Source organism: Homo sapiens, chromosome 3 (assembly GCF_000001405.40).
Source record: "Homo sapiens chromosome 3, GRCh38.p14 Primary Assembly".
NCBI lineage: Eukaryota > Metazoa > Chordata > Mammalia > Primates > Hominidae > Homo > Homo sapiens.
This window is the reverse complement of record NC_000003.12, coordinates 183,679,041-183,705,574: the sequence shown is the minus strand read 5'-3', so window position 1 is coordinate 183,705,574 and position 26,534 is coordinate 183,679,041. Positions and strand designations below refer to the sequence as shown.

The 26,534-nt window shown below is 43.5% G+C and overlaps 2 protein-coding genes across 44 annotated transcripts in view, besides 1 other annotated feature; both read right to left on the bottom strand.

Moving 5' to 3' along the window:
- Positions 1 to 7,778, bottom strand: part of YEATS2 (YEATS domain containing 2) — a 114,828-nt gene extending 107,050 nt beyond the window's left edge. For 11 of the 17 annotated variants that reach the window (XM_047448527.1, XM_047448528.1, NM_001351370.2 and 8 more), the window contains exon 1: positions 7,582 to 7,778. The gene's annotated coding sequence lies outside the window, so the exon portion shown is untranslated. Of the gene's footprint in view, positions 1 to 7,364; positions 7,498 to 7,581 lie in introns of those variants that run through there. The other 6 variants (XM_005247598.6, XM_017006810.2, XM_047448530.1 and 3 more) reach the window with 1 other exon arrangement.
- Positions 7,404 to 7,873: a silencer, noted in NCBI's record as "silent region_14947". NCBI's record gives its function as "represses an Ori minimal core promoter by ATAC-STARR-seq in GM12878 lymphoblastoid cells {active_cell/tissue: GM12878}" and the evidence as "EXISTENCE:reporter gene assay evidence [ECO:0000049][PMID:35858748]".
- KLHL24 (kelch like family member 24) overlaps positions 21,056 to 26,534 on the bottom strand; it is a 48,897-nt gene continuing 43,418 nt past the window's right edge. For all 27 annotated transcript variants that reach the window (NR_146170.1, NR_146169.1, XM_047448371.1 and 24 more), the window contains one exon: positions 21,056 to 26,489. Coding sequence is in view for 25 of the 27 variants with exons in the window: in XM_047448371.1 (XP_047304327.1) it covers positions 26,289 to 26,489 (201 nt within the window). In the remaining 2 variants the exon portion in view is untranslated. The remainder of the gene's footprint in view (positions 26,490 to 26,534) is intronic.

Below are 26,534 nucleotides of genomic sequence, written 5' to 3'. Positions count from 1 at the left end.
AGACAGTAAGCAAGGCAATATTAATAATAGAATTCAAGGCAAAAAAAATAACATGATAAAGATGATGTTATTAAAGGCACAATCACAAAAATACATCTTAAACTATACATCCAACAATATAGTATCAAAATACATACAACAAACAGAAAAAGGAAAGTTTAAGAAATCACACATCTCTATATAAAATTTAAAAGATTAAGACAATTTATAAAAATACAGATGATAGGCCGGGCGTGGTGGCTCACGCTTGTAATCCCAGCAGTTTGGGAAGTTGAGGCAGGTGACTCGCTTGAGCTCAGGAGTTCAAGACCACCCTGGGCAACACAGTGAAACCCTGTCTCTACAAACAATACAAAAATTAGTTAGGAGTAGTGGCAAGCACCTGTACTCCCAGCTACTTGGGCAGCTGAGGTAGGAGGATTGCTTGAGCCCAGGAGATGGAGCCTGCAGTTAAGCTGAGATCGCGCCGTTGCACCTCCAGCCTGGGTGACAGAGCCAGACCCCGTCTCAAACAAAACAAACACAACAAACAAAAAAGATGATATAGATATATATCTGGTAATTAACAAGCCAGAATTAACAAATACACACAACTCTGAACCCAACAGAAAAAAATCTTTTAAAAATATCTATAAAAGTTCATTAAGGTCGGATGCAGTGGCTCATGCCTGTAATCCCAGCATTTTGGGAGTCCAAGGTGGGTGGATCACTTGAGGACAGGAGTTTGAAACTAGCCTGGCCAATGTGGTAAAACCCCGTCTCTACTAAAAATACAAAAATTAGCTGGGCATAGTTGTGGATACCTGTAATCCCAGCTACTTGGGAGGCTGAGGCAGGAGAACTGCTGAACCCAGGAAGTGGAGGTTGCAGTGAGCCGAAATCACGCCACTGCACTCCAGCCTGGGCAACAGAGTGAGACTCTGTCTCAAAAAAAAAAAAGTTCATAAAATGTAAATCATACAGTAAGATATGAAGAAAGTCTCAAATTACTGCAAAATGTAGAAATATTACAGCCACATTCTGATCTTAATAAAAATTAATATTAGCTCACCATGATATGGAAAATAAGACACTCTTCTAATAACTCATGACTCAAAGAAGAAATTAAAACTAAAGTAACAGACTATTTAAAAACTAACGAGAACACAGTATCTCCAAACCTATGGAAATGTGGTCAAAAGTCACCATCAGAGGAAAATGGCAAACAAGCTTTCACTGCAAATACACATACAAATCCAATCCAGCAGGGTATTAAAAGCATAATGCATCATAACTGGAAAGTTTTATTGCCAGCAACAGAAAAAGAAACAAGCAGAACGAACAAAGGCTAAATCCTAAAACCAAAGTGGGGAGATCTAGAACGAAGGGGATTTGTACTACACAAGTCTACTGTTGAAGCTTTAGGAAGCTTTTTTTTTTTTTTTGAGATGGAGTCTCACTCTGTTGCCCAAGCTGGATTGCAGTGGCGCAATATCGGCTCACTGCAACCTCTGCCTCCCAGGTTGGAGTGATTCTCCTGCCTCAGCCTCCTAAGTAGCTGGGACTGCAGGCACCCACCACCACATCTGGCTATTTTTTATTTTATTTTATTTTATTTTTTTAGTAGAGGGAGGGTTGAACTCCTGACCTCAGGTGATCCGCCTGCCTCAGCCTCCCAAAGTGCTGGGATTACAAGCGTGAGCCACTACGCCTGGCCCCTTTAGGAACATTTTAATGAAACTGACTTTCAGTAATCCAAATACATATGATCCATTTCCTGAATTCTATTTTGAAAACTAAATACGGCAGCAGCTTCACCCCAACACCATCCACTCTTCCCAAAGACTGTTCAATGTACACTCTAAGAATATATATCCATTTTAATATTATACTGAGAAAATCATTAGGCATGCAGAAGCCCTATCAAAAAAATCAAAATCTATATTTCAATGTCAATTAAAATTTCTCCACCTATTTAAACATTACTCTTAACACTGTCACCTCCCTTTGATACAAAGAACTGAAAAAACAAAATACACCTGATCGTCTTTCCAAAGTTATGCTCATTTTGTAACAGAAGGAACGAGAAGTTATCTATTAGGTTGGTGCAAAAGTAAAAACCACAACTACTTTTGCACCAACCTCTATTAAAGGACAGACTCAGACCAAGGGAACTCTAGGAGACAGAAGATTCTGTTATGATTTTCACCAGAGTTAGTACCGACAAAAAAATGCTATGCTAATTATTCTAAGTCAGGTCTGACACACAAAACCTTTTGAATATGTTCCCATTTGCTGGCTAACATATCACTTTTTCTTTAACTCATCTGGCATCCAAAACAAAAACAGATCTTTTAAGTAAAAATAATCAAAATTTTATACTGGACCTGAATGGCGAGAAGCTGAGCGATCTGGTCATTAGGACTGACGTGATGTGGGACATTTCTAATAACATGTAAAGAGCTGAGCAAAAGACAGCTGAGCTCAAAAACACTGTCTCATTATTTCAGTCTTATATATTTCCAGGTCAAAAACACCAACTTTCCTATAAATAAAACGGCTTTAAGACTACACAATTTGCTAATATGGTCAGCCCCCAGAATCCATTCTGGCCAGTACGCTGTCTACAACCTTGCAAACTAGCACACAGAAGACTGTAGGATAAAACAGCTCCTCTAAATTATCCATGCCACTGCTTCTCTCCATTAATGCACCTGGAAAGCTGACTTTAGGTAACTTTTACCATTCCCTTTTTTTTTTTTGAGAGAGAGAGTCTTGCTGTCGCCCAGGATGGAGTGCAGTGGCGCAATCTTGGCTCACTGCAACCTCCGCCTCCCGGGTTCAAGAAATTCTCCTGTCTCAGCCTCCGAGTAGCTGTGACTACAGGCGCACACCACCACGTCTAATTTTTTTGTATTTTTAGTAGAGACGGGGTTTCACCATATTGGTCAGTCTGGTCTCGAACTCCTGACCTCAGGTGATCCACCCGCCTCAGCCTCCCAAAGTGCTGAGATTATAGGCGTGAGCTACAGCACCCGGCCACTTTTACCATTCCTTTACCCCACCGGTTCAACTTTCTTTTTCTGGAAGAATGAGGCATGTGGGATGTTTAAGGGGTTTGAGATTTTTAAGGTAATTTTTTTAATTTTTTGAGACAGTGTCTCACTATGTCGCCCAGGCTGGAGTGCAATGGCACGATCTTGGCTCACTGCAACCTCTGCCTCCCGTGTTCAAGTGATTCTCCAGCCACAGCCTCCCAAGTAGCTGGGGTTACAGGCACGCACCACCACACCCGGCTCATTTTTGTATTTTTAGTAGAGACAGGGTTTCTCCATGTTGGCCAGGCTGGTCTCGAACGCTTGACCTCAAATGATCCACCCGCCTTGGCCTCCCAAAGTGCTGGGACTACAGGTATGAGCCACCGCGGCTGGCCTGATGCAGATTGTTTCCATATCATCTGTTCTGTAGTAGTTAGGGGGAAAAAAAGCTTTCGAAGGCTGGAGTTCACTTCATGGATGAGTCGGAATTTGATTCTTGAAGGATGAAGAGCATTTCGGTAAGCGGAGAAGGTAGAGGTGAAATATGAGCCCATTGGAAAGTAACTGTGAGATGTTCAGGCATGTGAACTTTGATGACTGCAGACATGGAGAAGTAGAACTAGTTCTAGGCAAGGGCTGTTTATCCTGCTTGTCTGAGGAGTGAGCTGTGGGGAACCTGTTAAGTGGTTGTAATGAAAGCTGAGGGTGAGGAGAATGCAGTGGGGAGGGGCTTGAACTTTACCTGCAGTGCTTCTACTGGCGATTGTTATGTATTTTGTTTTTAAGTTTTAATTTATTTGAGAGTGTGGATATACTTTTTTAATTGAAATATAATTCACTTAACTTAAAAGGTACTGTTTTAGGCCAGGCACAGTGGCTCATGTGCCTGTAATCCCAGCACTTTGGGAGGCCAAAGCAGGAGGATTGCTTGAACCCAGGAGTTTAAGACCGGCCTGGACAACATAGGGAGACCTTGTCTCTACTGAAAAAGAAAAAGAAAAAAATTAGCTGGGCATGGTGGTGTGTACCTGTAGTCCCACCTACTTGGTAGGCTGAGGTGGGAGGCTCGCTTGAGCCCAGGAGTTCAAGGCTGCAATGACCTACGGCTGCATCACTGCACTCCAGCCTGGGCGACAGAGACAGACCCTGTCTCAAAAAATATATATATTGACCGGCCGGGCGCGGTGGCTCAAGCCTGTAATCCCAGCACTGGGAGGCCAAGGCAGGCAGATCACGACGTCAGGAGATCGAGATCATCCTGGCTAACATGGTGAAACCCCGTCTCTAATAAAAATACAAAGCAAAAAAACTTAGCCAGGCGAGGTGGTGGGTGCCTGTAGTCCCACCTACCCAGGAGGCTGAGGCAGGAAAAGGCGTGAACCCGGGAGGCAGAGCTTGCAGAGAGCTGAGATTGCGCCACTGCACTCCAGCCTGGGCGACAGAGCGAGACTCCTTCTCAAAAAAAAAAAAAATTTATATATATATACACACACACACACACACACATATATATATACACACACCAGTTAAAAGAGTGCAATTCAGTGGATTTCAGTATATTCACAAAGTTGCACAAAAATCACCACTATCTAATTCCATAATGTTTTCATCACTCCAAAAAGCAACCACTTACCTCTTAATTGTCACTCTCAATTCTCCTCTCCCTTCATCCCCCTGGCAACTACTTTTTGTGTGGATAAACTTGCCTGTTTCTGGACATTTCGTATAAATAGAATCATACAGCACGTGGCTTTTTGTATCTGCCTTTTTTTTTTTTTTTTTTTTTTGAGACGAAGTCTCCCTCTGTCGCCCAGGCTGGAGTGCAGTGGCGCGATCTCCGTTCACTGCAACCTCCACCTCCCGGGTTCAAGCAATTCCCCTGCCTCAGCCTCCCGAGCAGCTGGGATTACAGGCCTGGGCAACAGACTGTGATTCTGTCTCAAAAAAAAAAAAAAAAAAGAAAGAAAAGAAAAGAAAAAGAAAAAATCTGCTTCACAAGTCTTGTTTTCTGTGAGAAAACTGCATCAACTCCCACCATCTACTGGGTATCACGACAGAAAACAGACTGAAAGCAGAGCAGGACCAAAGGCAGGGAGATAGGGAACAATCCAAGAACGTGGCAATGAACATTCAAATAAAAATCCGTAGTTGATGAGAAGAGGACAGGACCAACTATTTCTGAGAATCTATTCTAAGAAAATACAGGGTAATGTACATCGTATGTGGGCTACACTCAGAGATCTACAACCTAAATGTTAATTCTCTTCTTCCTATGGATTTTATAATAAAAAATAACCCACAGTAAAATATCATGCATCCACTGAATGAACATGAAGCATTTGAAACTGAGAAACATGTGGGGAGAACTCTGCATGCTGTATGTCAAGCTACCTATTTTTAATATCTAAAGAACTTTTGACAATCAATTAGGAAATAACAAAAGATGACAGAGAACAGGAAAAGAAATTCACAAACAGCCAATAAATGGGAAAAAAATGTTCAAACATACTAGTAATCAATAAATGAAAAAAACACAAGACACCATTTTTCATCGATTAAGTTTAGTTTTGGGGCAGATGGAAATGGGGCACTTTTTTTCTAATTTGCACTCATTAGTTTCATTTCCTCACATCCGGTTCCCACCTCCCACTTCCAGAACTATGGACAGGAAGACCAATGACCAAAACCAATAACCACCGTGTTGCCAAATTCAATTGACAATCTTAATGAACATCTCAGAAGCCCTGATAAAAGGACCAATTCAACATCTTCCAGAAACACCTCTTTTGGCTGCCATGATACATGCCATTTTGGTAGGAGCTTTTTCTCCTACCTCACTTGCTGTTTCCTGCGTCCTTTCCCCAACCTTCTTCCTCTACCAGACCTAGAGGTATTTGAGTGTCTGCGCCCTTTTCACTTCTCCACACTCTTTCCCCTCAGTGATCTCACACAGCACCATACCTTTGAATATCATCTACGTACAGATCACTCCCAATTTTTTTTTTTTTTAAGAGACGGGGTCCTTCCTGCCTTGTAGCCAAGGCTGGTCTAGAATATCTGGGCTCAAGCGACCCGCCTCGGTCTCTCAAAGTGCTGGGATTTCAGGTGTGAGCACCGCGCCCAGCCACTCCCAGATTTTTATCTCTAGCTCTAGCCTCTCTCCTCCTTGAGTTCCAGCCCTCTACATCCAACTGCCTCAACACACCGACTTCATAACTAACATGCATCTAAAATTTAATACATCTAAAATAGAATTCGTTTTTCCCACCTCAAATTTCTCTCTTCCATTCTTCATCTCAGTAAACAGCACCACCACCTACTCAGTTGCTCAAAACAAAAATCAAAAAAGCAAAGATTCCCACCATTCCCTCACCAATCCAAGTCTTGTTCATTCTACCTTAAAACATTTAAAAATCTGTTTATACTTCCCCATCTCCCTGCCACGGGCCTAGTCCAAGCTACTGCAAAGAGCACAGTAACTGACCTCGTAGGTTCCTCCCCAGCCCTCTTCCTCTACATAGCAGTCGGATCATGCTACTCGCCTTCTCAAAACCTTCAAAGGCTTCCCGGGAAAAACTAAACTCCTTATCAGGGCATCATCTGCCCTATCTTTTAAAGAGTATACACAAACAGGAATATACATCCAAGGGTAGTATCTCTAGATCGTAAAACTGCGGGCATTTTTCTCTGGCTTTGCTTGTATTTTTAAATTTTTCTACGCTGAATACCCTCTACTCATTAAGAAAGGGGAAATGATATTGCTGAATTCTATATAATATTATACCGCATTTTTTACATGTGAGCGAGAAAAGGGAATGGAAAACGTGGGTCAACTCTGTAACTGCTGAATGCTTAGATGAAAATACTAGCCAACATCAAACTAAAAAAAAATGATGTGTCAGGCCTGTAAGATTGCTGATGGCATTTCTCTTCCTCTGGTTTCTATTTCTTAACATAATCACATTCATGATGGAGAAAACCTCATTGTCTTCTGCAGTCTGGCCACAGCCCTTCAAGCCAGCCTTTCCTGCAGGAGTCCTCACTTTCCGAGGCTTCCACTCCGCCCCGCACTGCCCGCAGCTCCGGCGCGTTGGCCCCGGCCCCATCCCTGGACCCCCAAAGCCTCTCTGACCCCTCCCCTCCATCCCAGGGAGGCCCGGTGGGGATGGCGACAGGTTGGAGGGGCATTCCAGGATCCTTTCGGTAAACCCACGACTTTCTGGTGCTGGGGCCAAATCTTGCCTCCAAGGCCAAGAGCTTAACATCCTAAAAGCTCCGGCCGCTGTGGCTCGGGGTCCCGTATCCCCTCAGCGCAGCGCCCCGCTGAAGAGGAAGCCCCCAACTCACGTTCCAATTCCAGGCTCCCGCTTCTGCGGCTCCCCGGCCCGCACCTGGGATCCTCCCTGCCCTCCCCTCGGCCCCGGGGCCTCACCGGGTCCCGCTGCCGCGCTGCCTGCCGATGGGGGAGGGGCGCGCACGTGCCCGCGCCGCCCCCGCCCAAACAATGCCCCGGAGAGCGGGGCGCGCTCCCGGCCGGTCCCTTCCTGCGCCCGCCAACACTCACCCTTTCTCCGGGTCTCCGGCTGCAGCGCGGGCCCCGCCGGCCGCCGCGAGAGAGCACGGCGAGGTGAGAGAGCGGGCGAAGCCCCGCGGAGCTGCCCCGCCACAAGGCCCCAGCGACCCCCGCAACCTGCGGAAGCACACGGCGCGGTGGAGCCCGCCCGGCGCGTTCCGCCCCGCACGTCAGCAGCTGGGCGCGTCGGGGCGCGCGCGGCGGCGCGCGCGGCCTCGGGGCGGAGCTCCCAGGGATGAGGGCGGGGCGGGGCGGGGCGGGGCTGGTCCGGGCTGGGACCCCGGCCCGCGAGGGCACTTCCTGGGCAGTGTGGGCGTCGATTCTTGCAAAGGCACAGTCGTCCATCACTTTCCTGCCCCAGAAGATGGCGAATTTCAACCCCAAGTTTGACAGAATATTCATTCTGCCGGCGTGTATGAGCTTCCCTATTAATCACAATAGTGACTATGATGTTTGTGTGTGCCATCTTTGTGCCAACCCATGTGCTAAGTGCTGGGTATACAAAATAACAGTAGTTATTTCTAGCCCATTTTACAGATGAAGAAACTGAGGCAGGGAAGGCTTGAGACTTATCTCAGTCACACTAGCTAGTGACAATCCAAGTCCAGTTTTCCACCTAAATATCACTTGAGGCCAACATTCTCTTTCGTTGTAACTCTACCACCCTACCCAAGACCCTGTAATCTCTCTGCCCAAGACTATGAATAGCCTCCCAACTGGTCTTGGGGAACTTCTGTTCCCCTTCAATCCCTTCTCACTGTATAACGATTTACTACTGGAGCTGAGTGGTGGGTTTAGGAAGTTCACTTTTTTTTTTATACTTTACATACATGTTACCAAATTTTTAATGTATTTAATGTTTTTATCAACGCATAATAAATATAAGTGGTGTTTTGTTTTTTGTGTTTTTTTTTTTTTTTGAGATAGAGTCTCCCTCTGTTGCCAGGCTGGAGTGCAGTGGCATGATCTTGGCTCACTGCAGCCTCCGCCTCCCGGGTTCAAGCGATTCTCCTGCCTCAGCCTCCCAAGTAGCTGGGATTACAAGGCGCGCGCCACCACGCCTGGCTGATTTTTGTATTTTTAGTAGAGACAGGGTTTCACCATGTTGGCCAGGCTGCTCTCGAACTCCTGACCTTAGGTGATCCACCCGCCTCAGCCTCCCAAAGTGCTGGGATTACAGGCGTGAACCACCACCCCCAGGCTAATTTTGGTTTTTTTAGACAGGTCTCACTATCACCACAGCTAGTCTCACACTTCCGGGCTCGAGAGATCCTCCTGGCTGGGCACGGTGGCTCATGCCTGTAATCCCAGCACTTTGGGAGGCTGAGGCGGGCGGATCACCTGAGGTCAGGAGTTCAAGACCAACCTGGCCAACATGGTGAAACCCCGTCTCTACTAAAAATACAAAAATTAGCCAGGTGTATTTGGGCATGCCTGTAATCCTAACTACTTGGGAAGCTGAGGCAGGACAGTCACTTGAACTCGGGAGGTGGAGGTTGCAGTGAGCCATTGCACTCCAACATGGGCAACAAAAGTGAAACTCCATCTCAAAAAAAAAAAAAACTAAGAAAGGCTTCCTTGAACCTTAAGCTAAGACTCAAGAGATAATAGGAACTGGGGAGATAAACAAATTTCATGGAGAAGGGGGTGAGGTCACAGGTCAGGATGAGTGTGTTGGTGTTCCCCTACTCTTAGGGTTTAACAGTGAGGTGGAAAGCATAGAAATACCCAGATAAGTGCCAAGAAAGCTAGAAGCTGACTTCCCTTGGTGTAGCTTGGAAGGCTGTCCAAGTCTGTGAGAAGGCTCACACAGTAGGGCTTGGGAGCAGGCCATGGCGTTGGGAGGAGTCTGCAATAGTGCTGCTGGAGCGCTGCAGCTTGCACATTTAGGTATGTCAGAATTCCAGACTTCTCTTGTTGCTCCCTGCCTGGCATGCAGAAAGTAGCATGGTTAAGAGCCATGGACAGACCAATAGGCACTGTGCCAGGGGGCAGGTTTCCTAAAGCAGAGGCCTTGTGGTGGGCTGATGGCCAGGGAATGGCTACAGAACGTAGCTAAGACCCCAAGGATAGGCAGTACTGAAGATACCAGTGGAGCTGAAGCACCCCTAAGTCAGCTGGTGAGAGGAGCGGGGATGGAGGAGTGGGGATGAAAGATGAGACATCAAACTCTGAAGGTGCTAAAGCAACAGGTCATGAGCTTGCCAACCAACCACCTCAGCAGCTGATGCCTGCAGGGCAGTGGAGACCAGAAGTCACCAGAGACATAGCAGCAGAGGCCAGTGAGAACCCAGGCTATAGCTTGAAATCCCGCACACAGATCTCCCCTCCCACCGCTGCCTTGAGGCTTCCCCTGTATCCTGTAGGCCGCCTTGGGAAGTCAAGGGGAAGAAGGGTAAAGTTCTGATAAGACTACAACTTTGAACTGTTTACCCAAATATTCACCAAAATGAAACTTTTTTTTTTTCTTTTGAGACTGAGTCTTGCTCTATTGCCCAGGCTGGAGTGCAGTGGTATGATCTTGGCTCACTGCAACCTCCGCCTCCTGGGTTTAAGTGATTCTCCTGCCTCACCCTCCCGAGTAGCTGGGACTACAGGCGCGTGCCACCATGCCCGGCTAATTTTCTGTATTTTTAGTAGAGACGGGGTTTCACTGCGTTAGCCAGAATGGTCTCGATCTCCTCATCTCGTAATCTGCCCGCCTCAGCCTCCCAAAGTGCTGGGATTACAGGCGTGAGACACCACACCCAGCCTATTTGCCCTTTTAAAAACATCACTTGCAGCTGGGCGCGGTGGCTCGCGCCTGTAATCCCAGCATTTTGGGAGGCCAAGGTGGGTGGATCACCTGAGGTCGGGAGTTCGAAACCAGCCTGGCCAACATGGTGAAACCCCATCTCTACTAAAAAAAAAAAAATGCAAAAATTAGCTGGGCGTGGTGACACATGTCTGTAATCCCAGCTACTCTGGAGGCTTGAACCTGGGAGGTGGAGGTTGCAGTGAGCCGAGATCATGCCACTGCTCTCCAGCCTAGGTGACAGAGTGAGACTCCGTCTCAAAAAAAAAAAAAATCATTTGCCCCAATGAGTAGGTGGGGAATGACTGAAGAGGTGTGTGAACATAGAAGCAGTGAGACAGTTGGAAAGCAATTTCAGTCATCCAAGCAAAAATTGAGGGTGGCACTGGTCGTGGTGGCTCACACCTGTAATCCCAGCACTTTGGGAGACGGAGATGGGCAGATCACCTGAGGTCAAGAATTCAAGACCAGCTTGACCAATATGGTGAAATCCCGTTTCTACTAAAAATACAAAAAAATTAGCTGGTCGTGGTGGCTTGTAATCCCAGTTACTCGGGAGACTGAGACAGGAGAATCGCTTGAGCCCAGGAGGCAGAGGTTGCAGTGAGCCAAGATCGTGCCATTGCACTCCAGTCTGGGCAATAAAAGGGAAACTCCATCTCAAAAAAAAAAAAAAAATGAGGATGGCTTACCCTGGCAGTGGAGATGGTGGGAAGGAGATAGATACAAGAACTATGGAGAAAATACCAGAAGACTTGATGACGATGAACTGGGAGGAGACTGGGGAGAGAAGGGAAGGGGACTGGCCTCTGCTAAGTCAAAATGGCCTCTTAGATAAACTGCCCCTTCCTCCAGGCAGACTCAGCTCTGCTCTGGAGCTTGGCAAGTGTTTAGAGGCTGGTTTTAGGCTCCTGGCTAGCCAGGCTCCCTTAGGCAGCACTCACCTGCACAGCCACTGGAGGTGGGCCTGGAGGGAGAACTGGGGTTGGCTCATACGTTTCCAGCAGTGGCTGATGGTGGATGATGGTGTCATTTCCTGAAAGGAGGGAGACTAAAGGAAGAACAGATTTGAATGTTGGGGGTGGGAGAATCAAGAATTCCCTTTGGGGCATTTTAAGTTTGAGGCATCCACTCGAATACTTTTTTTTTTTTTTTTTTTTTTTGAGACAGAGTCTCGCTCTGTTGCCGAGGCTGGAGTGCAGTGGTGCGATCTTGGCTCACTGCCACCTCTGCCTCCCGGGCTCTAGCGATTCTCATGCCTCAGCCTCCCAAGTATCTGGGATTACAGGCGTGTATTACCACACCCGGCTAATTTTCATATTTTTAGTAGAGACGGGGTTTTACCATGTTGGCCAGGCTGGTCTCGAACTCCTGACCTCAGGTGATCCACCTGCCTTGGCCTCCCAAAGTGCTGGGATTACAGGCATGAGCCACCACACCTAGCCCTGAAGATATTAAATCTGTACATAAGGCTTTGGGGCTCAGAAGAGACCTGATGGGTGGCACTGTCAACGTACTGTTGTCAACAGGTAGTTAATGAACACTGGTGAGGTTGCCATGAAAGAGTACAGTTCAGAGAGATTGCGTAGTCACAGCCTACAGATGTCACATTTTGTTTTAAATGAGCCAACATTTCAAACACTGACAAATTTCACATAATACCCTGAATTTCTGCTTCTATGGAAAATCAGAAACTGTGGTAACCTGGCCATACGTTGTTATTTTTTATTTTATTGTTATTTTTGGGGGGATGAAGTCTTGCTCTGTAACCCAGGCTGGAGTGCAGTGGCACGATCTCGGCTCACCGCAACCTCTGTCTCCCAGGTTCAAGCAATTCTCCTGCTTCAGCCTCTCGAGTAGCTGGGATTACAGGCGCATGCCACCACATCCGGCTAATTTTTGTATTTTTAATAGAGAAGGGGTTTCACCATGTTGGCCAGGCTGGTCTTGAACTCCTGACCTCAGGTGATCCGCCCACCTCGGCCTCCCAAAGTGCTGAGATTACAGGCGTGAGCCACCGCTCCCAGCCCATACATTGTTATAATTGGATATTAGCTATTAATAACACTACTTACCAGGCAGTGCTCCAAGCACTTCACAAATTTAATCTTTGTAACAACTTTATTATTATCATTCCTACTTTATTTTATTTTATTTATTTATTTTTTGAGATGGTGTCTCGCTCTGTCGCCCAGGCTGGAGTGCAATGGTGTGATCTCGGCTCACTGCAACCTCCGCCTCCTGGGTTCAAGCGATTCTTCTGCCTCAGCCTCCCGAGTAGCTGGGACTACAGGCGCGCGCCACCACGCCCAGCTAATTTTTAAAATATATTTTTAATAGAGACGGGGTTTCACCATGTTGGCCAGGATGGTCTCAATCTCTTGACCTCGTGATCCGCCTGCCTCGGCCTCGGCCTCCCAAAGTGCTGAGATTACAGGCGTGAGCCTCCGCGCCCGGCCATCATTCCTATTTTAAATAAGAGAAAAATGAAGCATGAAAAGGTTGAGTAATTTAGCTGTGTCAGACAGCTAAGAGTGGAGCTGGGTTGTAGACCCAGGCAGTCTGCCCCCAGGGCCTGAGAGTTTAGCGGCCATACCAGGAAGCAGCTGGAAAGCTGCAGTCCTACTTAGAGAAGCCCCATTACCTTCAGGGCAAAGGTCCCATACCAAGCCCTAGTGTTTTCCTAACACCTTCCTCCATCCCAGTCTGAGCGTGAGTTTGTTTCACTCACACTGCTATTTTCTGATACCAGAGAATTATGTCTCTATACCCATGACAAGTAGAAAATGAAAAATATTCAATTAAGATACAGCTGGGAGTGGTGGTGTGTGCATGTAGTCCCAGTTACTCCGGAGGCTAGGGCAGGAAGATCGCTTGAGCCCAGGAGTTCCAGGCCACCCTGGGCAATATAACGAGAGACCCTATCTCTCTCTTTTTTTTTTTTTTTTTTTTTTTTTTTTTTTTTTTTTTTGAGATGGAGTCTTCGCTCTGTCGCCCAGGCTGGAGTGCAGTGGTGCGATCTCGGCTCACTGCGAGCTCCGCCTCCCGGGTTCACGCCATTCTCCTGCCTCAGCCTCCTCAGTAGCTGGGACTACAGGCGCCCGCCACCACGCCCGGCTAATTTTTTGCAGTTTTTAGTAGAGACGGGGTTTCACCGTGTTAGCCAGGATGGTCTCAATCTCCTGACCTTGTGATCCGCCCGCCTCGGCCTCCCAAAGTGCTGGGATTACAGGCGTGCATCACCATGCCCTGCTAATTTTTGTCTTTTTCGTAGAGACGGGGTTTCAACATGTTGGTCAGGCTGGTCCCAAACTCCTAACCTCAGGTGATCTGTCCGCCTCGGCCTCCCAAAGTGCTAGGATTACAGGCTTGAGCCACCGCATCCAGTGGAAAAGTTAACTGTTATTAAATTTAGTACAGAAGGTTCCAGGAATGCTGACGCTGACCCTGGAAAAGAAGTCCGGTGGCTGAGAGTCCTCCTGCTGGGAGCTGCTGCCCAACAGATTGAGGGGCTCAACGTGGGGGGAAGAGGGCATCAGAGGAACTAGGAAAGCTTGAGAAGGATGGTGGATCCAAAGCTCTGCCTGACAGTGGGAGGGGGAGGCTGGCTCAGTTGGAAAATTGTTGCTAGACTCTGACCCAGAAGTACCCAGTATCCCAGCCTCCTTCCTGGGAAGACCAACGTCCCTTTCTAAGTTTAACAGGAATGGGACCCCCGGGGACGCTTAAGGTGCTGAAATACCCCCACCTGAATGCAGATACTAATTAGACTTGTAAAATGAGAACTCCACTTCTTAATACCCCCAATAAAACTGTTGTCTGGGCTTGGTGGCTCACGCCTGTAATCCCAACACTTTGGGGGCTGAGGTGGGCAGATCACGAGGTCAGGAGTTTGAGACCAGCCTGGCCAAAAGGGTGCAACCCTGTCTCTACTAAAAATACAAAAATTAGCCGGGCATTGTGGTGGGCGCCCTACAATCCCAGCTACTCAGGAGGCTGAGGCAGGAGAATCGCTTGAACCCGGGAGGCGGAGGTTGCAGTGAGCTGAGATTATGCCATTGCACTCGAACCTGGGCAACACAGCGAGACTCCATCTCAAAAAAAAACTGTTAAAAGTTAGTGCCTAGGAATTACAATCAGGCTGTTAAAAATAAATGATTGTGCCCAACTAGGCCCAAATGAGAAACCAAATGTCTAGTTGGCCTATTAAGATTTTGGCAAAACCATATCCCACCCTTGTAGATGGACCCTATCATAACCCAAAAGAGCCAAGCAATGTGCTTCTCCTATGCTATATACTGAATGTTTGTGCCCTCCAAAATTCCTATGTTGAAACCTAATCCCCAATGTGACAGTATTTGCAGGTGGGGCCTCTGGGTGGTGATTAAGTTCTTCAGGGTGGAGTGCCCTTTCTAAATTTTTTGTTTTGTTTTGTTTTGTTTTTTTTGAGACAGAGTCTCACTCTGTTGCCTAGGCTGGAGTGCAGTGGCATGATCTCAGCTGACTGCAACCTCCATCTCCCGGGCTCAAGTGATTTCCGGCTAATTTCTGTATTTTTAGTAGAGACGGGGCTTCACCATGTTGGCCGGGCCGGTCTCCAGCTCCTGACCTCAGGTGATCCGTCCGCTTCGGCATCCCAAAGTGCTAGGATTACAGGCGTGAGGCACTGTGCCTGGCCACCCTTTTAAATTAAAAAAAATTTTTTTTTATTTATTTGAGATGGAGTCTCACTCTGTCGCTCAGGCTGGAGTGCAGTGGCACAATCTCGGCTCACTGCAACCTCCACCTCCTGAGTTCAAGTGATTCTCCTGCCTCAGCCTCCCAAGTAGCTGGGATTACAGACACGCGGCACCATGCTTGGCTGATTTTTTTTGTATTTTTAGTAGAGATAGGGTTTCACCATGTTGGCCAGGTTGGTCTCGAACTCCTGACCTTAGGACCTTAGGTGATCTGTCTGCCTTGGCCTCCCAAAGTGCTGGGGTTACAGGCATGAGCCACTTTGCCCAGCTTTAATTTTTTTTTTTTTTTTGAGACAGAGTTTCCCTCTTGTTGCCCAGGCTGGAGTGCAGTGGTGTGACCTCGGCTCAACGCAACCTCTGCCTTCCGGGTTCAAGCAATTCTCCTGCCTCAGCCTCCTGAGTAGCTGGGATTACAGGCATGCGCCACCATGCCTGGCTAATTGTGTGTTTTTTGGTAGAGATGGGGTTTCTCCATGTTGGTCAGGCTGGTCTCGAACTCCCAACCTCAGGTGATCCGCCCACCTCAGCCTCCCAAAGTGCTGGAATTACAGGGGTGAGCCACCACACTCAGCCTGCCTTAATTTTTTTTACTGTAGGGTCTTGCTTTGTTGCCCAGGCTGGCATGCAGTGGTGCAATCATGGCTCACTGCAACCTCGACCTCCTGGACTCAAGCGATCCTCCCCCTCAGCCTCCCAAGTAGCTGGGACCACAAGTGTGCACCACCACGCCCAACTAATTTTTAAAAATTTTTTGGTAGAGGCAAGGTCTCACTATGTTACCCAGGCTGGTCTCAAACTCCTGGCTTCAAGTGATCCTCCTACCTCAGCTTCCCAAAGTGCTGGGATTACAGGCATAAGCTACCATGGCTGGCCTAATGCCCTTATTTAAAAGGTCCCAGAGTACCCCCTTACCCCTTCTGCCAGGTGCGGACACAGCAAGAAAATGGCTGTCTGTGAATTAGGAGAAGGGCCCTCACCAGACACTGAATCTGCTGGTGCCTTGATATTGGACTTCCCAGCCTCCAAAACTGTGAGAAATTTCTGTTGTTTATAAGCCACTCAGTCTAGGGTTTTTGGTTGTAGAAGCCCAAATGGACTAAGACATCCTCCATGTGGATTGTGCAGTATCCACAGAATACAAACACTGGGGGCAGGGCATGTTATTATTTATTTTTAAAAAAATGGATATTTATCCCAGAAGGAATCTTTCTATAGCTAGAACTAGTTGGTTTCTCTGCATTTGTTTTACATAAAAATAGAGCCGCTAGATGTCAAGAATGTCATTTATTGCTGATAGGAATATAAAAGGGTACAGCCACTTTGGCAAACAGCTTGGCAGTTTCTCAAAATGTTAAGCATGTAGTTACCATGTGACTCAGCAGTTTCATGCCTATGTAAATATCCAAGAGAAATGAAAGCATATGTCCACACAAAGTTTGTACACAAATGTTCATAGCAAAAAGTTGTATCTCAATGGAGTTGTTAAAAAAAAAAAAAGAATGCCAGCCAGGCACGGTGGCTCACGCATGTAATCCCAGCACTTTGGGAGGCCAAGGCAGGCAGATCAGGAGGTCAGCAGATCGAGACCATCCTGGCTAACACGGTGAAATCCTGTCTCTACTGAAAATACAAAAAAATTAGCTGGGTGTGGTGGGGGGGGCGCCTGTAGTCCCAGCTACTTGGGAGGCTGAGGCAGGAGAATGGCGTGAACCCGGGAGGCGGAGCTTGCAGTGAGCCGAGATTGCACCACTGCACTCCAGCCTGGGCGACAGAGCAAGATTCCGTCTCAAAAACAAGAAAGAAAGAAAGAAAGAAGTCTGGGCTCTTTGGCTCATGGCTGTAATCCCAGCACTTTGGGAGGCCGAGGCAGGCAGGTCACCTGAGGTTGGGAGTTCGAGACCAGCCTGACCAACATGGAGAAACCCCATCTCTACTAAAAATACAAAACAAGCTGGGTGTGGTGGCACATGCCTGTAATCCCAGCTACTCGGCAGGCTGAGGCAGGAGAATCGCTTGAACCGGGGATGTGGAGGCTGCAGTAAGCCAAGATCGTGCCATTGCACTCTAGCCTGGGCAATAAGAGCTAAACTCTGTCTCAAAAACAAATAAAAAAAGAAGCCTGTGGACGTGGACTAAAAAAATGTCTGAAAATTACTTCTAAATGTAAGGTAAAATAGGAAATTTTAGCTGTAATAGCATGTCTCTTATGAGTTGGTTCTGGTGGAATATGGATGATGTAAAAACAGGGAGTGTACAAAAATGGCTTTACTTAAACATTTGGGTCAAGTCTTTAAAGACTGAAGACTTCTGATTTTAATTTGGTTACAATTATTTACATCTTTAATCAGTTTTTAAGTGTCCAGTTAATATAATACTGAGATATATTCATTTATTATTGTATTAGTATTGTATTAGTATTAGTTTTCACACTGCTAATAAAGACATACCTGAGACTGGGTAATTTACAAAAGAAAGTTTATTAGACTTACAGTTCCACGTGGCTGGGGAGGCCTTACAATCATGCCGCAAGGTAAAAGGCATGTCTCACATAGCGGGAGACAAGAGAGCTTGTGCAGGGAAACTCCCGTTTTTTAAAACTATCAGATCTCATGAGACTTATTCATTCTCATGAGACCAACATGGGAAAGACCCGCCCCCATAATTCAATTACCTCCCACCAGGTTCCTCCCACGACACATGGAAATTGTGGGAGTTACAATTCAAGATGAGATTTGGGTGGGGACACAACAAAACCATGTCAATTATTTTAGATTGGACTTCAGCTCTGTTTTGTGAAAGATACTGACACTATTGCTGAGTTTGTTTGTTGGCAGAAGTTTTAATATCCTTGGTGGTATTTACTTGTGTTACCCTATGATAACTTTCATCATAATCTTTTCTTATTTTATGGCCTAGATAGGCCATAAATTCCCCAGTCAAGGGATATAGTCCTGACTGTAAATAGCCCTGATTCCCAATATGAGAAGAGTTTCGTGGCCTAGACTTGAGTGTGTCCAAAACAAATAATGTTGCATTTATCAGGTTTCATGAATTCATTACTGCCCAGAGTACAATTCTGTTGCCCCTGTTCCTAGAAGTCTTACTCTATCTTCACAATTGGCCACCCAATGGCAGATTTGTGGGATGTTGCTGCATAATCATATCTCACATTCCTCCAATGCCAGCAAACAAGGGATTTTGGTTGGGAAGAACACTCTTCCATAACTTGACTTTGGCAGGGAGATACACTTCATGTATGATGACTTTTATATCTACAGACATCTCCAAAATCCTTTTTTGTATGACCATTATGTTCCTCCTTCTCTGCTTTATTCATATGTTCAGAATAAACTCATCTAGATTTGGTGTTCCCCAATTGAGCAGCAGATAATGTCAGAACAGTCATTGTTGGGGCTCAAAGTGCCAAAATATGGCACTTTGACATGCTGAACTGAAGAAGAAGCCTCAAGGTCTCTGTCTCTCAATCCTTTGTCTCTCCCAAAGCACAAGATGAAGTTGTTCTCCGAAGTTCCCTTATCTACCTAAAGTCTCGACCCACCAAAGATGAAAACAATTACTGCTCGTCCCTTCCCCGAGTTTTCGTTAAGTGAACTCATATTGCAGGAAGAAAGACTGAAGTCTGTTAACGCACTGAACAGACTTTTGTCACAAACCATTGTCTACTCGGCAGGCCCAACAGACTTTTGTCCCAGGCCATTCAAAGTTCTACAGACCCATTGAATTCCCTTAAAAATCATTTACTGCTCACACCTGTAATCCCAGCACTTTGGGAGGCCAAGGCAGGTGGATCACGAGGTCAGGAGTTCGAGACCAGCCTGGCAAATATGGTGAAACCCCATCTCTACTAAAACCCTATCTCTACAAAAATTAGCCAGGCATGGTGGTGCATGCCTGTAATCCCAGCTACTTGGGAGGCTGAGACAGAAGAATCGCTTGAACCCAGGAGGCTGAGGTTGCAGTGAGCCAAGATCGTGCCACTGCACTCCAGCCTGGGTGACAGAAAGAGACTCCGTCCCAAAAAAAAAAAAAAATCATTTACTACCTCCCTGAAATCACCCACACTTCCTATCTCCCTTTCCCCCAAGAAGGGTATATGACATTCTCTACCCCATTGCATAGTGGGGTAATTATGTTGTGATTCTTCCCTGTGCACATTAATAAACGTGTATGCCTTTTCTCCTATTAATCTCCCTTTTGTTTTCCCTTGGACCCTACATCATAAATGTGCCTAAAGAACTGTTCTCATTATAAAAAAAACAAAAACAAAAACAAAAAGAGAAGAAACTATCAGGGAATTTTCCTTGCTGCTTTGTATTCTATTTGCTATAGATAAGACCATGTAGAGTATTTGGGTAGCCAGAGTTTGTATATTGAATGAGTCTGAGTTTTTGTGACCCAAAATGCAGGCAGTCTGTTTTAAAGGAAAAAATCTTAATATTGATTGATATGATAATCTGATAGCTGGGAAGGCTCATATGATTTTTCTGACTCTTAATTTATACTCCTTGTACAATGTTGATATCTATATTTTGTATAGGAGATTTATGTGAGCTGGGCATTGTGGCTCATGCCTGTAATCCCAGCACTTTGGGAGGCCAAGGCAGAAGGATCACTTGAAGTCAGGAGTTTGAGAGCAGCCTGGGCAACACAGCAAGACCCCCTGTATCTACAAAAAATTTAAAAATTAGCTAGGCGTGGTGGCATGAATCTGTAGTCCTATAGCTACTAGGGATGCTAAGGTAGGAGAATCACCTGAGTCCAGGAAATTGAGGCTGCCATGAGCCATGATTGTGCCACTGCAGTTCAATCTGGGTGACACAGTGAGATCCTGTCTCGAAAAAAAAAAATATATCCTAACATAATTAGGAGGAAACTATCCCTTCTGTCTCCATTATCAGTTAATAAATAGCAGAGAAGCAGAAGGCAGGTATAGTCCATTTCCCTCCACATTCCATTAAGACAGCAGGTTATTTTATTTATTTTTTTTTTTTGAGACGGAGTCTCGCTCTGTCGCCCAGGCTGGAGTGCAGTGGCTCGATCTTGGCTCACTGCAACCTCCGCCTCCTGGGTTCAAGCGATTCTCCTGCCTCAGCCTCCCCAAGTAGCTGGGACTGCAGGCACACACCACCATGCCTAGCTAATTTTTGTATTTTTAGTAGAGATGGGGTTTCACCATGTTGGCCAGGATGTTCTCAATCCCTTGACCTCGTGATCCTCCCGCCTTGGCCTCCCAAAGTGCTGGGAATACAGGCGTGAGCCACTGTGCCCAGCCAGGTCATTTTTTTTTAAACAGAAAATTTAAAGTATAATAGAAGAGGCTGGGTGCAGTGGCTCACACCTGTAATCCCAGCACTTTGGGAGGCTGAGGCGGGAGGATCACGAGGTCAGGAGAGCGAGACCATCCTGGCTAACACGGTGAAACCCTGTCTCTACTAAAAATATAAAAAGAAAAATTAGCCGGGCGTGGTGGCATGCACCTGTAGTCCCAGGTACTCAGGAGGCTGAAGCACGAGAATCGCTTGAACCCAGGAGGCAGAGGTTGCAGTAAGCCAAGACTGCACCACTGCTCTCCAGCCTGGGTGACAGAGTGAGACTCCGTCTCAAAAAAAGAAAAAAAAAATTTTTTTTTTTGAATAGGGAATACTTTCGTGTGTTTCAGACTAAAAAATTGATTTTATATGTATTTATAATTACACACATATACGTATGCAGTAAAGTTTCATTTTTACTTGTCCTTCAGCCACCATTTCCTTTCCTCTTACACACTAATATTTTCAGTTTCTTATTTATCCTTCCAGTTATTTTATGGACATACCAGTAAATACACACATATATTAATATATCCAGTATTTTCCCCATCTCTTTTTTGCACAACCCCTTAAATATACTTAAAATAAAACAGAACAACAAATTTTTCGTAAACAAAATTTAATACAACCATATAGTCAAGTAATAATGGTTAAAAGACATTTTATTAGATACAACTTTTAAAAAATTAAACTATGCAAGAAGTATATTTAAACAAAACATGTAAGTAAGTATTCACGTGCTACAACTTAACTAAGAACAATTAAATACAAAGCATTCTTTCCACTATGAAGACTCTGGAGCCTCTAATTGAAAGCAAATGACCTTAGGTCTATACTAGTTGTAAAGCAGATTATACTTTTGTTCAACTCTAAATTTGTATTGTCTTAGAGCTCCAACAACTCTCAATAAAAATTTAAATAAAGAAACCTTGGGGGAGGGGTGATAGGGAAGGGGAGAGTAAGTGCTTTTTCAAAAAGGTAAATGAAAAAGCCTGAAGAGGGAAAAAATTGTACATAAGTATGGAACAAAAATAAGTATACTTTTTTGACATTCGATGTAGATACTGCAAATGAATTTACACGGGTTTAATCAATGTAAGATAGATATTTGTCTGAATATTTTAAAAAGCACCTAGGTATCAAAAAATAAAAACAAAAAATATAATGAAACTCCAAACATCCAACAATCTCCCTTAACATTCTCATTCTGCCAAGCAACCACACGTTGGTGCTTATTACACAATTTAAGAAGGGGAAGTTTATTTACTCTATAGGAAACAAATATGAACCTTATCTAAGGTAAGCTTCATTTAGATTGAAAAAAAAGTTGAAATAGCACTAGAGAACTTAAGGCACATAAACAAATTCAGGTGCAGTTATTTTGAAACCATTAAAACAAATTCTTTTCTTTGGAACAATATATAAAATAAGTTATGAATGTTGCTGTTTTTATCAGCACTAGGAAAATTTAATATCTAAGGCAATCACACAAATGTAAAATGTTCATATAAAACATTAAAAAATGTCTAAAGTGTCTCTGGAATTATTCATTCACACTCCTGGCTCAAATGGTTTCTGGTGCCTAGCATTAGATGTGACAATAATGATAGCTAGCTAGTCAAACCTACTGCCTTAAAGATCAACCAATTTGCTCCATTCTGGTTACTTGGCATGGTAAATTTATTTAACTAAAAAGAATAATGGGGTGAGGTGATGTAAACCTGGCTTTCAATAAGATGCACAACAAATTCTAATAAGGCCAAAACTCTGTTGAGGTTAACTGGTGTCTTGAGTTTACTAAAATAAAGGCAGTCCATAGGAAGCCTCAAAGAGACATTATCTTACCACTTGGCACCACAAAAACACCAAGCTCTCCTCTCTGAAAATACAGGCCGGGGGTGGTGGCTCACGCCTGTAATCCCAGCACTTTGGGAGGCCGAGGTGGGCGGATCACGTGGTCAGGAGTGATCCGTCTCTACTAAACCCCGTCTCTACTAAAAATACAAAAAAATTAGCCGGGTGTGGTGGCACGCACCTGTGGTCTCAGCTACTCGGGAGGCTGAGGCAGAATCCCTTGAACCCGGGAGGTGGAGGTTGCAGTCAGCTGAGATCGCGCCACTGCACTCCAGCCTGGGCGACAGAGCAAGACCCCGTTCTCCCCCCTTCCCCAAAAAAAAAAAAAAACGAAAAAAATACAGTTTGAAGTAGATGTCGTCTTTTCCACATATAAATCTCAAGACATAAAAGGCACACACAATTCAACTCCTCTCTTTTCATATATGGGTTCTCACAGCAATTTAAAAAATCTATTGCCATATCCAGACAACAGGAGAAAAAAAAAATACCTGGTTTGCTTATTGACAAAAGTGGTGTAATTGAACCTTTGTCTTTCCTGAGTTTCAAAAAGGCTATTTGACAGTAGAGATACATAAACAATTCATATTCAGTAAGATAAAATGTATCAGTCCACAAAACATTTTCATCTTTTTAAGTATAAAAGAATCAATGTTCAACCACCACCATGTGTGAAGCCCCTTTTTCCAAATTAAACTTACTCTAGAATCATGAATTGAAGATTATTCAGTCATGGCACTTTACACCCCAAACGAGCAAAAGTAACAAGTTAATACCCTCCCTGAGTATTTACATCATCTTATCACCTGGTTTAAATGGAGTAAATACCTATATTTCAATCATCTAGGAAATAAAAAGGTTACTGAAGATCCAATACACTAGTATTTCATACCTGTGCAGTAAAGTCAGTGGGAAGATTACAGTAGAAAAGGAGGAAGTTCTACTGTTGTAAAAATTAGACCACTTTTGTAGCTGACTCACATAGAGGAAAAACAGAAAATGATTAAAGTTCATGAAAAAAAAACTATACTTTTCTGTTCTACAAAGCATACCTTTGAATTCCCTTTCCAACTGAGGTATCACAGCTGGGTTTAGCAAACTCATCTCTTCTGACCTTGTAAAACTAAATTGTCATAAAGATTCTGATTATACATAAGTCATCGTTACTAATACTCATCATGTACTTTCAAATGTAAAAAGTTCTAGAAATGCCCAAATAAAAAAAAATTCCAGAATTGAATTTAGCATGGTCAACTAATTTTTACTTTATGTGCTTTTTTGCTGATCATCACAGACTGCTAAAATTCATGGTGTTTGGTATATATGTGTGTATACAACCATACTATCTACATACATACACATGTACATATATAGATTCTAAACCAAAGGTTCATATGAGCATCACCTATCAAAAGAAAAATCTTTATGTGATGAGAGAATGAATACAATCTGACACCAATTTGGTTGATATACCCCTTTTGATATATTAATTCTACTCTAAAATTCTTTTTTATTTTATCAAGTCTAATGCTATTATTTATCAAGAATTAGTAAAGGAAGATAAATATTAAAAAATTAAAATATTAAGTTGGGTAACTTTAAAAATAGTTATTTAAATTTTCTAAGATTCAACCTAAGTTCTTGGTGGCCTTCAATATAAATTTTAAGTACTTAATTTATGTAGTTTTAAATTATGTAGAGAAAAAATTAATATTGGTGTGAGGTCTGTGTTTAAAAAAATTCTGTTTTTCAGGATTTCATTTCAAATTTACTATAATAAACACATGGATATTAAAATAAATGTATAACAAAATAAAAGTAAATAGTTAATACTTTTTACAACAGAAAAATACTAGAATATAAAGTTGTCTTGAGAAAGTCTTTTTTTATGTGAAGTCCTATATTCATGAAATGGACATGATCTTACAAATACACATGAAAATAACAACTATCATTTGTAGAATCCTCAGCATTTACAAAATACTTTTTCACACATTATCTCATTTACTGTAAAGAATTTCTTAACTAAATAATTCTATTATCTATAAGAGTATAATGCAGATGTTTACTCTAAAATTAAAGTACAAGTATCCAAACTGTACCTACATTCTTTCAACTAAGAGGATAGAAAATTGTTTTCTGAATTGTTGTTATCACAAAATGGTATCTATCATTTTAAAATTATGATTTGAAAAATAAAAATTCCCTAAAAATTTTTAAGTTTTTTAGAGTTTTCCTCAGAATGTAGATTCTAGCTAAGCATTAAAGTTTAAAAAATGTCTATCTGAAATCTCTGAATCATTCTAAAATGAGAAAACAATGTAGCTTACCAATGTTAGGCTTTTTATTTCAACCTTGGTTTTAACAGAAATCTGGTGACACTTTAATTACATATTTGCATCATCCCTTCTATCACAAGAAATATACAAATTATAATGTGAAAGACAACAGTGACTGGAAGTCAAACTACAGCAGGCTACCTAGAACATCCCTAAATGTTGTAAATTATATCCGTCCACCCAGAATCACAATAATCACTTATGCTGTAGTTCCTGCCATATCCATTTATTTGCATTAGAAAAAAAATTCACATTCCTCTCTGAAAACTGATAAGCTTTATAAAGTGGAGTTGAGAAATCTAGACAAAAGCAGTCTGTTGTACAGAAGCTTGAAAATGTTGATTAGTATTTTACACAATGGGGACCAAATGAAAGACTTACCTTAAAGATGGGAACTACTGCTAAGTTTTTTCAGATAACTAATTTTAAAAGAAAAATGGACCCACTGAGATAGGTGGTCCCTGCTTTATCCTATTAAAGGTACCTTAACAGTAGAGACTCTCAGGAATTTTAGCTGTTCACTAGAAAGTGGGATAATCAAGGAAGAGGTCCTCACCCAAAGCACCATACTAATGAGGTCAAACTCTACTGGGCTAGGAAGGAAAACCTATCCCTATTTTTCTTTTTCTTTTCTCTTGAGACAGTGTCGCAACCTGTTGCCCAGGCTAGGGTGCCGTGTGCGTTCATAGCTCACTGTAGCCTCAGACTCCTGGGCTCAAGCAATCCTCCTGCCCCAGCCTGCTGAGTAGTTGGGAGTACAGGTGTGAGTCTCTGTACCTGGCTGTCTGTCCCTGTTTTTCACAAAACAATATTGCAAAATGGGTTTCCACTGCTTTATCAAGTTAAGAAAAGAGGCTTTCTTAGAGGATTGAAGAGATGATGCATAAAAACTTTGAGAGCCATAGTGGGTCATTTTTCCTTCAAAGGCCATTCCATTTTTCTCTTAGGAATTAACTTGTAATTTTAATCCCCCTTGTAGGGGCACTTATTTTTCTATCTCCTACCTAACTTCCCCCTAAAAACATGTTTAATGTAAGACAGCAATTCTAAGAATAAAGTCACAATAGTTCAGTATTTTATGATGCCTGAATTGTTGTCATTACATTTTTATCAATTACAGAAAAAAACCCTTCAATAAAATTAACCAATCTGGATATACTTTGTTAACAACAAAGGTTTTTAAAACTGATTTTTTCTCCTAGAATGCATCCTAAGCATTAACTTCTTCAACCTAAATGATGCCTCAAGTCATGCAATTTTCTCTACATATATGACAAAATAAGGAATATACATACAGATAAACATACATAATAAGTGAAGACACCATTCACACGCTCCTAAAAGGTATGCAGACAGACATTTCCTAATTCACATAGACTTCTTACAAATACTTACAAAGGTACACTCTTCAAAGGCCAAGTAACAACCACCATTACCTTTAACAAAAAAGTTTTTTTTTTCAATTATAGGAAAGGCTTTATTATAGTTTGAAAGATTGATATTTTGAGGAGAAAGGCACCAAATTATTATTTTTACTATTTTTTGCATATGGCACAAAGGAGATATGTGAAGTTCCCACTGTAGAGTTTTTAAAACCTCCCATCTTGGATCAGTGTGGCTTCTTCGGTGAGGTATCCTGTCTTCAGAGTTTAAAGCATTTCTCATTGTATCTATGAATAGTCACACAGCCATGATAGGACACTGGCCTGGGCATTGCAGCTACCCCTGTGATGATACTTGTTGCAGGATCATAACAGAGAATAGTGTCTGTGGCTTCTCCATTTTCCCGTCTTCCGCCCAGGATATATATTTTACCATTACACACAGACATACCACAGTTTTCCTGTTTAACCAAATATATAAACAAAAAATTAACCATTGAAGATAA